General features: G+C 42.9%; 2 protein-coding genes across 17 annotated transcripts in view; both read left to right on the top strand.

Moving 5' to 3' along the window:
- Positions 1-4041, top strand: part of BEND5 (BEN domain containing 5) — a 49373-nt gene extending 45332 nt beyond the window's left edge. For all 9 annotated transcript variants that reach the window (NR_146232.2, NM_001349793.2, NM_024603.4 and 6 more), the window contains one exon: positions 3517-4041. Coding sequence is in view for 8 of the 9 variants with exons in the window: in NM_001349793.2 (NP_001336722.1) it covers positions 3517-3674 (158 nt within the window). In the remaining variant the exon portion in view is untranslated. The remainder of the gene's footprint in view (positions 1-3516) is intronic.
- AGBL4 (AGBL carboxypeptidase 4) overlaps positions 1-14490 on the top strand; it is a 1501444-nt gene that overhangs the window by 1292395 nt on the left and 194559 nt on the right. The window lies entirely within an intron of this gene.

The raw sequence follows: 14490 nt of genomic DNA, 5'->3' as shown, positions 1-14490 counted from the left end.
AGGAAATCATCTCTGACCTTTTGGGGTGGGTGGATGCTGCTGTCATTCATCTTAGAGCACCCAGTGCCTACCTCAGTTCTCTTCTTACTGTATCTTTGCCTCCTAGGAGACTTGTCTAACCCTTATTGCCTATAAATGCTTGCCTTGTACGTGAATGAGAAGGAAATTAACTTGCCCAAGGCCATACATCTGATTAGAGACAGCCAAGCTGAACTGGGCTTTCAGGCTACCTGCTGTCACCAGAGGTTTCTTGTATTACTGAAATATAATGTTGATTTTTTTTTTTTACTAAAGACAGGCAGGTTTGACATCTGTCTCCTATCCCACAATATAACCACTGTTTTTAGCCTAATTATTTGAGCTGTTCCAGATTGCATTTGGTTGGTTCTTCCCATGCAAGCTGTCTGCTGGATTGAGATTGTTTGTATTTATTTTGTCTGATTTTGTTACATGTAGTCACATTTGCCATATAAAAAAATAGAAAAGCCTTTATGCTCACAGAGTTGGTGAGGATTTCTTCTTCTTCTCTTTGATTTTAAAATAGTTCCTTACCCGATAGCAGAGGGATGGGGCAAACATTGACGCTGCTTTGGAAAGACAAAAGCAGGAGAGCTGAAGCAGAGTCTTGCTCTAATGACAAGCTCCAGAATGACAGTTAAACCTATTAAGGTCAAATGACCTTTTGTGGAGTGTCTGAGTTTTCTAAATGAGCCTCAGCATTGCGTTCCGGTTAATTTTTATAACTTTTTTAATAGGACACATTAGCACTGTTATAAACCTTGTTAATTAAGCAATAATCTCAAATGCTCCCTCGCAGAGGGAGACATTCCCGGCAACTGCAGGTGATTAATATCTAGAGTCTAACGAAAGCCTTTTAATCAACCTGAGAAGCTTTTCGTTCAGTGCTGTTACCCACAGGAAATGAGAATGATTGAAATTCTATGGGGGCTCCTCCAAAAACCTTCCTCCATTTGCACCTTTCTCCTTCTACCACTTCCCTGACTAATGCTAGGGGCTCCAAGGGCCACCACACCCACTCTCCTGCCTTCTCCTTCTGTCTCCTTTGCCACTTTACCTGCCATTATTACCTTGCAGACAATTAGAGACTTCGAGCTGGGGGAATCTTCTTAGATTCTCTGGTTTGAAATGCTACTTTCGTAGATAGTGAAACCGAGACCCAGAGAAGTCCCCCCTAGAGGTTGCACAGCATCTAGGGTTAGAATCAGATACGAATATCTCAACTTCTAAGCAGTTCTCATCACAGTTTGTCTCCCTCATTTGGTTCAGGTTCCTACAAAGTCACTATGGGTGTTTGTTTTCTCCTGGCCTGGGGTAGAGAGGGAATGCCTGAGTGTCCCAGTCTGTTGGGGGGAAACAATGTGGTTACAGTTTTATTAGATTGTGATTCGTGCTTTGACAGAGAGAAAAACCGAGACAGGTGTGGGAGCACAGAGTTCTAGGTAGAGTGGGGTCTCCTAACTCAGTCTGATACTAGGTTTCAAGAAAGCTGAATCTGGAAGAATGAGTAGAGCTTAGGCAGGTGAAGGGTGAGGACTTAAGCAGAGATGAGCAAGGTCCCTGACAGGTGGAATAGGTTGAAAAGGATGATGAATATAGCAGAGGTGGGACTGGAGAGACAGGGCCTCCTACCTTCTTGTCTCTCAGTCCTTATGGAAAGGCCAAGACAAGATGAAGTGAGGATTAGTCAGGCTTGGGAATAGTCAGGAAGTGACTGGTCGAGGTCAATTAAAAGCTTTTAAAGGCTTCTCTTTGCAAAACCCTTCTCGGTGGAAAGAAAAGGGTGCCTCAGAGAAAGAATGCTTATAGCAGGTGCACCTGCAGCATGGATGGCAACAGGAGGCAGACTGGCTGGCTCTGTGCCCAGGGAAGGGCTCAGCATATGGGCAGGTAGCAGTGGATTCTGCCCCATACCTACTCCCTTTCTCCAGGCCTGGGCTTCTCATATGTTAGTGGAAAGGTTAGCACAAGTTAGTCTTCACAATCCCCTCTAGTGTTGATATTCTGCATCTCTGAGACAATTCCCTGTTCTGAGCTGGTTTGGTAATGACAAGATTTTGCTTGTTCTCCATAGCAATTCCTCAAGGTTGAATTGTCATTCCTATTTAGTTGAGAAAACTCAGGCTCAAAGAGTCCCCAAGGGTTTTGCCCATTATTACACATTCCCGTGGTACATTCACCACCCACGCCCTAGTCCTCTTCCATCCAGAATATTTGTGTTCCCTTAGGTATCCCTGGAAAAGCATTTATTCAGTTATTTAACATATGTTTACTTAAGTTTGCCACTGTGCCAAACACTGTGTTAGGCCCTAGGAATTAATAGTTGTAAATACATAAAATACTCAGAACAACCCCATACAGGTGTAGTATTCCTTACAACTTGAAAAAGGCAACATGTTTATCCCACATGCCTCATGGCAGCATTAAAAAAAAATGCTCTGTAGTTTGTTATCCTTATTTATGAAGTGAGGAATCTAGGGCAGTGAGTTGCACCAGGTCCCCAGGCTAGGCAGTCAATTGAAGTCGGGCTCCAGCCAGACCTTGTCTGGAGCTGGCTTTTTGCTTTATCACAGCAAATGGTGGACTCAGTAAGAGAGTGGCCGTACTGAGCCTCATTAGTAATCACAGCAGTGAGACACTACTTCACACCCACCAGGTTGTCAGAACCTTAATAATGTGACAATGTCAAGTACTATTGAAATGGGGCAACCAGTACTACTTGCATACACTGTTGCTAGGAGTGCCAGTCAGCACAACCACTTTGGAAAGCAATTTACCAGGCATCACCTAATAAAGTTGAATATGCACACATCTTAACATTCAGCAAGTCCACGCCTAGGCTGATACTGGAGAATTTCTTTCATGTCTTCCCCAGAGGCATGTGCCAGAGTGTTTTTAATTGCAAAACCAAGTATCCATTGACAATAAAATGGATAAAACAAATTGTGATAGAGCCATACAATAGAACACTACTCATCAGTGAAAATGAATGACCTACAAATGTATTTTTCATGAGTAAATCTCAAAACTATAACATTTGAGTAAAAAAAAAAAAAAAAGCAAGTCAGAATGATAGAGTGGGCACATTTATAAAAAGATTGAAAATGGAAAATAAACTATTTTATTTAAGGATACATACATGTGTTAACACTAAAAGAAAAAAAAAAAGGCAAAAGTTCAGGAGAATGGTTATCTCTGGTGGAGAGGAAAGAATTAGGGAGGGGCCTGCAGGTGCTTGGGAGGAACCAATAGTATCCTGCTCCACTGAGTGGTGGACACGTGGACACTTTATCATTACTTTTAAAGAGTACATTTACAGTGTATATCTGCTCTTTTCTAAGTACATTCTATGATGCAAATTTTAAAATATAGCTATGCCAGATACATAAGCTGGTATTTGGGAAGTATGTTGGGAGGTACATTTTCTTTTACCCTCCTTAAAAGATTTTTACTTGAATTCACCATTAATCCTTGGCCTTGTTTCTTCTCCCCGTCTAGAGTGTTTGTATGACAGAATAGCACAAGAAACTGTGGATGAAACTGAAATTGCACAGAGACTCTCCAAAGTCAACAAGTACATCTGTGAAAAAATCATGGATATCAATAAATCCTGTAAAAATGAAGAACGAAGGGAAGCAAAATACAATTTGCAATAAACTTTGGATTTTTCATAAAGCTTTCGTGTTTTCCTTGTGTGGCATGTGATTTGCGAGCGATGGTGCCGTCCAAATCAGACCCCACCGTGCATGGTGGTGTGTGTGCAGGGATCCATCGGGTTCTGGGGTCAGCGGCTTGTTCTGAATGTGGACACTCCAAAGACGACAGATGGCTTTGCTGAGACTCAGGAGCAGCCTGGCACTGGTGTCCTTCTGGGAATGGGGAAAACACTCTTCTTGGAGGGGGATAAGGTTGCCTGAGTTGCCTGTCACTTGACTGGGGTTTGAATGGATATTTTTACTATCCAAGGACTTCTTTGTTGCTCTATTTTGTTCTATAATAAATTTTCATTAATTCTTTGATGTAGATAGTCTTTATCCTCATTTCTTTAGTATATTACATATACAGTGGGGGTGACCAGAGTGTTGTGCCGCCTGGCATGCCCTTCCTTTCAGGGAAGGAATATTCCGGCTGAAGGAGAGAAAATTCCTAAGAGATGTGGTTGCTTTCTACAGATCTGAAGGGCTGTCTCAAAAGCAGATCTCTTTCTCTGACTTCAAAGGCCAGATCTTGGACCAGTCACCTTTCTCACTCAAGGTGATCTGAGATTCAGCTTCCCTAATAATTTGAATCCATCTTTGTAAAGGGGTGAAGACGGGGTGATAATGTTAGATGAGTATAGGGTTACATTCAGGAACTAGGGGCAATGTTACCTGGTATCGGTTCTTTCATCCTATCTTGTATCTCAAATGTTCTTTCAAGTTACATAATTTTTATCTCATTCTTTATTCTGTTACTGAGTCTCTAAGGTGCCTGGCACACATTCTGGCAAACCACATTAGAACTTCCTGTTGATTTGCACTTTGCTTTCTGTAATGCCTGTGAAGTATGCATGGCATATTAGAAAGGGCAAGGGCTTTGGGCCGATGCGTCTAGATTCCAAGCCTGGCTCCCCTGCCTGCTTTGGGCTTAACCTGTCCTCTCTGAGTTTCCATTTTCTATTTCACAAAAAGGAGATAATAGCTACCTTTCAGAGGTGCTACAAGGATTAGAGATAAGTGTTCAATAAATGTTGGCAACTGTTACTCATTTCTGATTATTGGCTGTTATTGTTGGTTAGAAAAGTGGCCTCTGGTTTCTCTAATGGGTCATCCATTAATTGGTAGTCTGTAACCAAAAGCTCAGGGTCTCTGGAGTAAGTAGGAGAGGTGGCTGCCACTTTGAGAACTTTTATTTTAATTGTCTTTCAGTTAACTAAACTTATTCTCAGAGTTCTTATCAGTAATAAGGAGGAAAATAATGCCTACCTCATAGGCCGTGTGGATAACTTAATAATATTAATAATAACAGATAGTTAATATGTGCCAAGGCTTTTCTAAGTGTTTAACATAGTATGTTAACTCATTTCACAAAGTAAAGTTCCTGACACTTAGTAGATAGATGTTCAATAAATATTTGATAAGATATGTTCATTTAAGGGCATGGGGAAGCTCAGGCATGAGTTGTGTGGATTGCGTGAGATGCTGGAAAAAAACTTTGCATCATTGTTGAGCTCATCCCCTTTTCTCTCTGTGAGTAACAAAGACACTAACACCCAGAGGCCCTGCATTTCTCCTTAAAGACTAATAAAATATGGTACCTGCTTTACAAGTGCTTTTAGGTTAAGGGGGGAATAGTTGTGGAAATAACTACAATAAAAATGCTATGATATTTTTGAAAGTGCTTTGCGTAATGTTTGATGCATATATTCAAGAGAACAGGGCAGTTAATGATTATGGGATCTGGGTTTAAATCCTGGATTCGCCACTTCCAAGCAGGTCACTTGACCTCTGGGCCTTGTTTCTTCTGGTGTGGAGAGAATGATCCCTAATTCAGGGTTGTTGTGGAGAGTAATGTAGATAATATCTGAAAAAAGGGCTCTATAAATAAAAAAGACCCTTGCAGATGTTCGTTATTATCCTTAGCGTAGAAGGCAGAATGAAATCAGAAGTAGATGCAACAAGGAATCATGCTTGTAAGAGCCAATTCTGATGTAATCGGGAGGCTTCACACACTAATTAGGCTGAGACGGTTTGGCCTCTGTTGTGTACATGGTGCCTTGTTATTGTAATATGAGGGCAAGACCATCATTCTTACACCCATACAAATGAAGAAATGGGCTCAAAAAAGGTTAAATAATTTCTTGCTCAAGGTCCTGGAGCTGTCTGTCAGCAGTGGACCTGGATCAGAACTCAGGTCTGTGAAAAACCTGCCCTTTTACCTCTTCCCTGAAAGATGAGTGGAAAATTGTGGTCTAGGCTGAGAATCTAGTCACGTAATCTCAGGACATGTTTAGGGGAAACCCAACCTAAGTATTAGTCAATGGAAAACAATCTTATTAATTCAGGCCATTTGGAGGGACTGGGAATGATAGTACTGCTTATAAACATTTGCAGTTTTATTACATTCAAATACATATAAAAACTCAAATTCATTTTGTTTGGTAGAGTGTTTCACAAACTTGCCCAATCTTAAGAATTGGCTGAGGTGCTTAAAATACAAATTTCCTCTGCTTTGGCTTGGAGAGCCTGATTCGGTAGGTCTGGGATAAGGCTGGGAATGTGTATTTTAACACAGATGTCACTTTCGAAAAATATCAGTTAAAGTCATTAGAAGACCTTCATTAAAATAAAGGATAAGAGTATTCCCTATATTAAAAAGAAATGGATGGGGAGCCAACAAACTGATGGTCTTTCTAATGTGCCTGAGGATATTTGACATTGAGAGTAAATTTCTTCTTAAGTAACTGAGACTCTGCCCTAACACCTGTTTAGAATTCCTCTTCATGGCCACCAAATGCTGTTCAGCTGCACACAATCAGAAGGTGACTTTCTGTCTAGGCTCAAATGATTTTTCCCTCACTTGTACACTTAGAGTCTTTGGATTCTTGTGCCAGGCCAGTGAGTTGTGTAGAAGAAGACTGTCAATACTGAATTGGCAGGACCTGAATCAATGAGGTTTGGGCACTGTCTTCAGAAGCCCTGGCAACAAGTTTTCTGATACCAGATGAAACAGAAAGATGGGGCTTGGCTTTATTTCCTTGCTTAGGAAAGTATATTGGTGACTTTTTAGGTGCTTGTATGCTTCCTGTAGGCATTTCTAACTTGCGATTTTTTTTGTAATTATAGAGAAAAACTACTTTATAGAAATTATTGCCAAAAATAGGAAATACCCCCCAAACTGCACTGCTGAAAGCACTCTGATGTATCTCATGTAGTCTTTTTCCAAGGGTGAAAATATGTATTTTCCATACCTATGATTATAGCACATAGTTAGGTTTGTATCCTTCCCTTTGCATTTAACATGTTTCACCATTGCTCCATAAAATTCATAACTATCAATTCTAACATCCACAAAGTGGACCAACATAAAGCTGCAATTGAGTAAACCACCTGGTCAGCTGCCCAAGCCTTAACCCACAGATCAGGGGTTTGTGAAGGGCCTGGCTGCACACTTTTCATCACACACAGGGGTAAAGTGAGCTAGAGTTAGGAGGCAGATGCATGCGAGTTTAGTTCCCAACTCTAGCACTTACCAACAAATGAAGCAAGTTACTTCATCTTTCTTAACACCAGCTTCTTCATCTGCAAAATGGAGGAAATAAGGTCTAGTTATGGGGTTATTAGGAGTAATGAGAGTGTAATTAATGTGCCCCCCAAGAGAGGGGCTAAATGGTTGTCAGTGTTAATGTTGGGCTTCCTCTCCTCTCTTCTCTCCCTACACCTGTTCATTCCTTACTGAAGTGTGCTCCTCCTAACCTGCTGACCCCGTATGCAGTGACCTTGGCTTTCATACCCACCTTTGGCTCTCTGGACATCTTCTGCTTATCCCATAGTTCTCCATACATGGGGGCTTTCCCCCGTGCATGCTGACTAGCTCGCTCCTCGGCTTCCAGCTCCCCTCACCTACCTCAGCCCCTACTCACTGCCACCCAAGTGGCCCATTTACACTTCCTTGGATTTTTAGACTCTTTATAAATTAAACCCAGATGAAGATTTTTCTGTTTCACAGTGTTTTCTCTTAAGTGGTTGTACCTGGGTCAAAAGGAATGACATTTTATCACTCTTGATATATATAATGGGTGTGACCACTTTTTAAATTATTTTGCCCACTTAATAGGTGAAAAATAGCACCCTTGTTATATTTTCTTTTATTATAGCCAAGACTGCATATCTCTCCAGAGTTTGGCTACTTCTTCGTAGAAAAGGAAAACTTTAAAACCTGTAAGTAGTTTCAGCAGAATCCATTTCATTTTCTGTGTTTAGTTTTCTTATGGACCAATGTGTTAACTTGGGCATATAATTTTCGCCTGTATGTCTGCAAATAGACAAACCAATAGATATTTTCACTTCTTTTGAAGAGATTGATCCCTTTCTGCCAGGCAGCTTCATAGGCTCATGGAATCTAAGGATCAAAAATGAACTTTGAGGTTTTCCACCCGAATCTCCTCCCCATTATAAGCAAATGCCATTCCAAACCATGCTTGAATACCTCCAAGCACAAGGAATTCATATTCCCACCCAAGAGTCCATCCAGTTATTGCCATCAGTAAAATATTATTCCATTGAGCTAAAAATCTACCTCCCTGAGACTTTCAAAGTCATTCAAATTCTTCCCTTTCAAGCCACACAGAATGTTTCCACTCACAGCCCTTTGTAGAGTTGAAGGTGGCTGTCATATCTCCTCACCAACTAATAAATAGCTCAAATTCTGCTTCACCATTTTGCATGTGTGGCAGGCTACATGGGAAAGAGTGGGGAGCGTGGATTTAGACAGCCATGTGTTCAAATCCTGTTTCTTCCACTTGGTGTGTGACCTTAAACAAATTCTTAACCTCTCCGAGCTTCAGTTTTCTCATTTTAATAACGGGAATAGTAATATCTATCTCACAGGATTATGTCAAGAGTTAAGTAAGATAATGTGAGTAAAGTATTCTAGGCATTCGGTATCTTAGTTCCCTAATCCTGAGAACTGTGACCATCCTGGTTGCTCTTTTACGGATCTGCCCCTGTAGATGAGACTCAGGACTGGACATGGTGCTCCAGGAAGAGTTTGGTCAGCAAGATGTCACCTCTTACTCTCCGACTTCGAATTAGCATCTTTAGCAATAGAATTGTCTCATATTGAGCCAATAAGGCTCAGTAAGGTAATATTGACAGTATGTGGTGAGGGAAATGTTACCAGTCCTCTATTCTCTCTTTTTGGCTAACACGATACTTGTCCCTTCAGTTTACCGTGTTATAATGGAAAGAGCATCAGTTTTGGAGCCAGAGAGACTGACACTGAATTGAGACCCTGCATTCACTATTTATTAGATTAGAGGAAATAGGACAAGTTTCTTAAAGTCTCCCAACCCCAGTCCCCCTACTCATTATGCAGTTGTTGGGTAGTCATACTGACCTGCCACTGTGCCACACCTGCAGTCCCCACTCGACCCCAGTTCCAGCCTTCAGTAAATGTGAAATCTTTTTGTTCTTATTTTCCTCTCCTTTTTAATCTTAACAGCTCTTTAGTCCTCCCCATCCTTTAATTTTGTAAAATTTTCAAGTATATTTCTTAAATGAAATACAGGACTTTGCATTCGTCCCTGTTCCATTTCATCTTACTGGTTTCAGCCCAACATTTCAGCTGGTCGAGATCTTCTTTACAAGTTGTGTTTAAAATACAAAAGACCCCCCAGTCCCTCCCTATTCACCAATGCCCACCCACCCACCCACCCCAAATAAACAAACAATAACCAGATTTATTGACCAGTACTTATGCCAAGTTGTCAATTTTCTCTCTCTCTGTTCCTCTTATCTGAATAATTTCTCTGTTCTTCTTATGTGAATTATCTGAATAATTCACAAACTGTAACATAATTCCATTCACCATCCACTTTAGCCTCTTGGTTTCTGTTTTGTTCACTGCTGTATTCCCAAAACCTGGCATATAGTGCACACTCATTAAAAAGTTATTGAATGAATAAATGACAAAAGTCAGAGACCTATTAGGAGACTGGGGCCCAATCCAGGCCTGGATGACAGTGAAGGACCCTACAGATGGAGGGAGAGCAACGGAGCAGAGACAAACCTGGGGTCACCACAACTCAGTCCCAGTGCTGGAAAGACAGCTCTGTGCCTGCTGAGCTCAGGCAGCCCAGGCCTTGGCCACTGCCTAGTGTCAGACCACAGGGGTCCCTGATCTGGGCAGTGCTGAAATGGGGAGAGGAAGGTAATAAATATCCAGGGCCTGGGTCACCCCCACACTGATTGTTCTGTGAGGAGTCCGGGCCAGGGACCCTCCTCACCCCTGGAATAGGCACCTAAAGTTTACCCAGAAATCCTTAGTGAGCCCGTATTGCCAACAGTCACACTGGACCCCACCGGCCTTGTTGCAGCAGCCATCAGAGAAGCCACACAGGGAACAAATGTCAAGGTGGCATTCCCTGCATCATTGTCCTTGGTTCCCTGCCATTGATTTCCTCAGCATTTCTCATTCATGGCCACCTGCAGCTATGGCCAGCACTCAGCAGAAATGTGGTTTCCATGTTGAGATCATTTCTGGAGACTTTAGGGTCTGAATTGCAGTGATCACAGGGACTGTGAGGGTCTCTTACACTATACCCTAATTCCACCTCACATAAACCTTACCCTACTCCCACCTCTGGGAAAAGAGTGACTCAATTTAAATGATTTTCTGGAATCAGCCATATGTCAGCCCAGTTATAAATGGCCTTGCACTATCCACACTCTCCTTCCCCTGTGGAGCACCCTCAAGCTTTACACTTTCCCCCAGCTCCTCTGCCTCTCTACCTTCAGCTGCTTGGCCCTGCTCAGTCTGGGGCTCTAACTCATCCTTGTCCCTCTTTTAGATCATTAACCTTGGGAGAAAAAAAAAAAAACTATCCTCTCTGGGCTTGAAGGCTCAGATTAAATATCATTTCCTCTAAGAGCCTGTTACCATCTATTCCTAAAGGACTCCCTCCCTTCTCTAGTTTTCCAAATCTTCTTCCATCCTTCATTCCCAGCCCCAGTCTTCCCTGTACCTTAACACTCAGAGGATTGTATTGTAATATTAATTTAGCTCCCTCTTCTCACAAGGCTGTCAGTGAACTGCAGGCAGGACTGTGTTAATTCATCTCTATACATGTTTGCTGAACCCCTACACTGTGCTAGGTGCAAGAGATATAGTTATGGTGATGTTTTTTAATTAACTAATATTTATTGAACATTTACTATGTGGTAGCACTGTTCACTTTTTCATTCTCACACAAACCTGTGAAGCAGGTACTATTACCATTTGCATTTCACAAATGAGGAAACTGACTTAATGAGGTTGAGTAATTTGCCCAAGATGGCACAGCTGTGATCTGGAGGAGCCTGAACTGGCATCTAAGCCTGTGTGACTCCAATGTCTGGTGTCTTAATGATCATGCTAGATGCTACCTTAGATCTCTCAACATTGTCATAAGCTGTTTTTTCCATCTGAAACTTCTCCTGCCTCCTCTGCTCTATGACCTGCTTCTTCTCCTCCTTCCAGGAGATCTTTTGTGCTCCATCTCCAGCCTGGGTTGGAACCCTTCTCCCTGCTCTGTGGCACCTCTTGTGACCTCTGGTAGAGCCTCATCAAGCTGTCCCATCATTGTGTGTCTGTCTTTCTCCCTGGACTAAGCCCTTTAAGGTAGGGACCACCCTGTGTTGATCTCTGAGTCCCCAGGGCCAGTACAGAGCCAGTATGGATGGCATGGACCTCTCCCTAGAAGCCTGGTTCCTGGTGAGGAAATGCTATGGGAAATAAATACCAAAAAAGTTATTTCCGCCTAGGGGTATAAGGCCTTGAGGGATCAAGGGAGCCCTCCATGAGGAGGTCATGAGGCCTTCTTCTCTTGTTCTCATGGGTTGAAGTTTGATAGGCCATCACCAAGTCAAGAAAGAAGTAAAGGATTTGGCCATAGTTAAGTTTGAGAACTCTGACCTCTCACTGTCAGAATGTGACTATGGGCTTCACCGCTTACCAGCTCTGTGACCTCAGGCAAGTTACTTATTTGGTTTGGGACTCAGTTTCCTCTTCCATAAAATGGAAGGCTTCATGTTTCTGTGAGCATTAAGCCAATATCTAAAATGCACTTATAACTATACCTAGCACATAGAAAGCACTACATAAGTGTTTATAATTATTGTGAGCAATAGGCAAGAGGTGGAAGAGGATAGGATGAGTTCAGATGTTTCAAGGTATGAAAGTGAAGCTGGTAGTGGGAGATGAGGCTGGAGAGGTGGGTAGAGGCCCAGTCATGGAGGGCCTTGGTTCCAGGCTGAGCTGCTAGACTCTGAAGACCATGGACACACTGAAGGGTGGGGCTTTGTGCCTTAGAAAAATGATGCTGGCATCAGAATGGTGAATGGTTTGGAGGGAGAGGGAGGAGTTGAGAAGGCTATTGGGGGAATAACTCAGGTGAGAGATGATGAGGGGCAGATGCCCACCCCCCTTCCTCCTTAAGTGCTGGCACTGCCAGGTGGGAACCTGACTATGAGCACCACAATGCAATGGTGCAGATGGGGAGTGCCCAGGGCAACTATGTCCAGAGGAGCACCTCCTTCATGCAGCTCCTGGACCCTGGAACCACTCAGCCCATGGAGGTGTGTCAGACACAGCATCCACCCTATGTCCAGAGGGGAGATCAAACGTGTTTGGGGGAAGGGGGCGCATTTCAGGTTTGTACATGTCTCTGTCAGGTCTTTCCTGAGCCACCTCCTTAATACTGTGGGAACAGCATGGGATGTGGAGTAAAAGAGTGTGGGTTTCAGGAACATGACCTTGGCTAAGTCATACAACCGTCTGAATCCTGAGATTTATTAGCAACAAGGAGCTGATGTATTACGTTCAGTACAAGAATAACAATGTCAACATTTAAGGCTGTTGCTAAAGTGCCCATCCCACGGCAGGTATGTAGTCGGAGCTCACTAACAGGCACTGCCCTCCCATCAGAGTGATAGAAGCAGGGAGCATGAGCACTTAGTTAGGGTGTCACACTCCACCTGTGGGAGCCTGTGGGCTGGTCACTTCCTTCCTATGAGCCTCAGTTATACAGGCTCAATTATAATATGTGTGCAAAGGTCCCTACTCCACAACCTCCACAAGTGGTGTGGCCCTGACAGCATCCCATGACCCAAATCAGGGTTGGGAAACCTCAGAGCACTCCAGGTGGGGAAGTAGATTTTTAGTCTTCCTTCTTCCTCTGCCCCCACCTCTCCCTCCCACCAGGAAGCAGATTCCAGCCCCTGATACATTCTTTTCCAAAACTAGTGGGAAGCACCTGGCCCTGGATATGAAGAATGACAGTCACTACTGAGAGGCTGTCATTGCTGGTGGAGAAAAGAATCTGGGGTTCTTTTTTCCAGTGGGTCTTTAAATTATTTTCATTTTGCTGATTCATGCACTTTTCTGAGCTAGGGAGCTTTGGGAGGTGTTTATAGGCCATTTAAGCAGAAAGCCTTGTTGGCTCCAATCTCTTGGAGAGGAAGAGATTTAACACTGTGTAGCCCAGCCTGTTGCTGCCCTCCACAGGGCCCAGGAGGGCAGGTGGAGGCTTTGCAGGGTGGGGCTGCCCTTCAGAGAGCCCAGTCCAGTGCCAAGTAGACCCTACTGGGATTTCCAGTGTTGGCCAATCAAAACCACAGATGGAATGGAACTATGGCCAGATTTGGAGGGAAGTTTTGCTGTCCTAGGTTTTCAATTATGCTTATAAGGTGCCTTGTTTTCTTCTTTTCTCTTTTTCTTTCATTCCCTCGTTCATTTTGAGTGAGAAGGGCAGCCAACAGGAGCATGCCGATGCTTTCCCCACATCCTTTCCCCAGCCTAGAATCAGGAAATTATTCAGTTAGCCTTGTGGAACTCCTGTATGTCAGAAGCTACAGCAAATAATTCATACATTTAATCATATCAAGAGTATTTGGGACTTAGCATTATAGTCTATATTTCTCCTGATGAAGATACCGTAGCCCAGAGAGGTTAGATTATTTGCCCAGTGTCACACAGCTAAAAAGGGAGAGGGTCAAGATTCAAAAGCAAGTCCTTCTGAGACCAGGTCCACTGTTCTTTTCATCAAAGCCTCAATGCCTCTAGTAATCAGCAATGACTGAGAGCCAGCTAGGTGCCAGGCCCTGTGCTATATGGCAAAGAGAAGTGTTTCTCTTCCACTGGTTGGATTCTAGCCATTTCAAGATTCACCTTGAATCCTCCTTCCCATGTAAAGCAATGCAGGATGGTAGAAAAAGTGGAAAAGTGGAAGCCAATGCCCACCAACAGGAAAATTACCTGCATGCACGCGCGCACACACACACGCACACACATTGACTTTCATCATAGAGTGAAATGTCAATACAGCAAACAAAAAAAATGAACTAGAGGAGTATGTATCAGCATAAATAAATCTGAAAATCATAATGTATAGTAAGAAAGCAAGTGGCAGAGTGAAACAGAGTCTGTGACTATGTATGTAAAATTTTAAATGTGCAAAACCTATTATGGATTGTTTATAGACATATACATGCACAGTCAGAGTATAAACACTCAGGCAGGAAGGACACATGCCAACTTTGGCATAGTCCTTATCAGGAGTGGTGTGGGGAAGAGTGCAAAAGAGGCTTCAGTAATGTTTTAAGTGTTTAAGACAAATAAACCAAAAAGAGGCCAGAAGAAAAAAAGGCAAAAAGCAAAAAGGTTCTGATTTATTCTACCTGGGAGGGTACCGGGTGTGTGGGGATGGGGCACTGCACTGCACTATCCGCGCCTGCT

Source organism: Homo sapiens, chromosome 1 (assembly GCF_000001405.40).
Source record: "Homo sapiens chromosome 1, GRCh38.p14 Primary Assembly".
Classification (NCBI taxonomy): Eukaryota; Metazoa; Chordata; class Mammalia; order Primates; family Hominidae; genus Homo; species Homo sapiens.
This window is presented reverse-complemented; position numbering and strand designations above follow the sequence as displayed.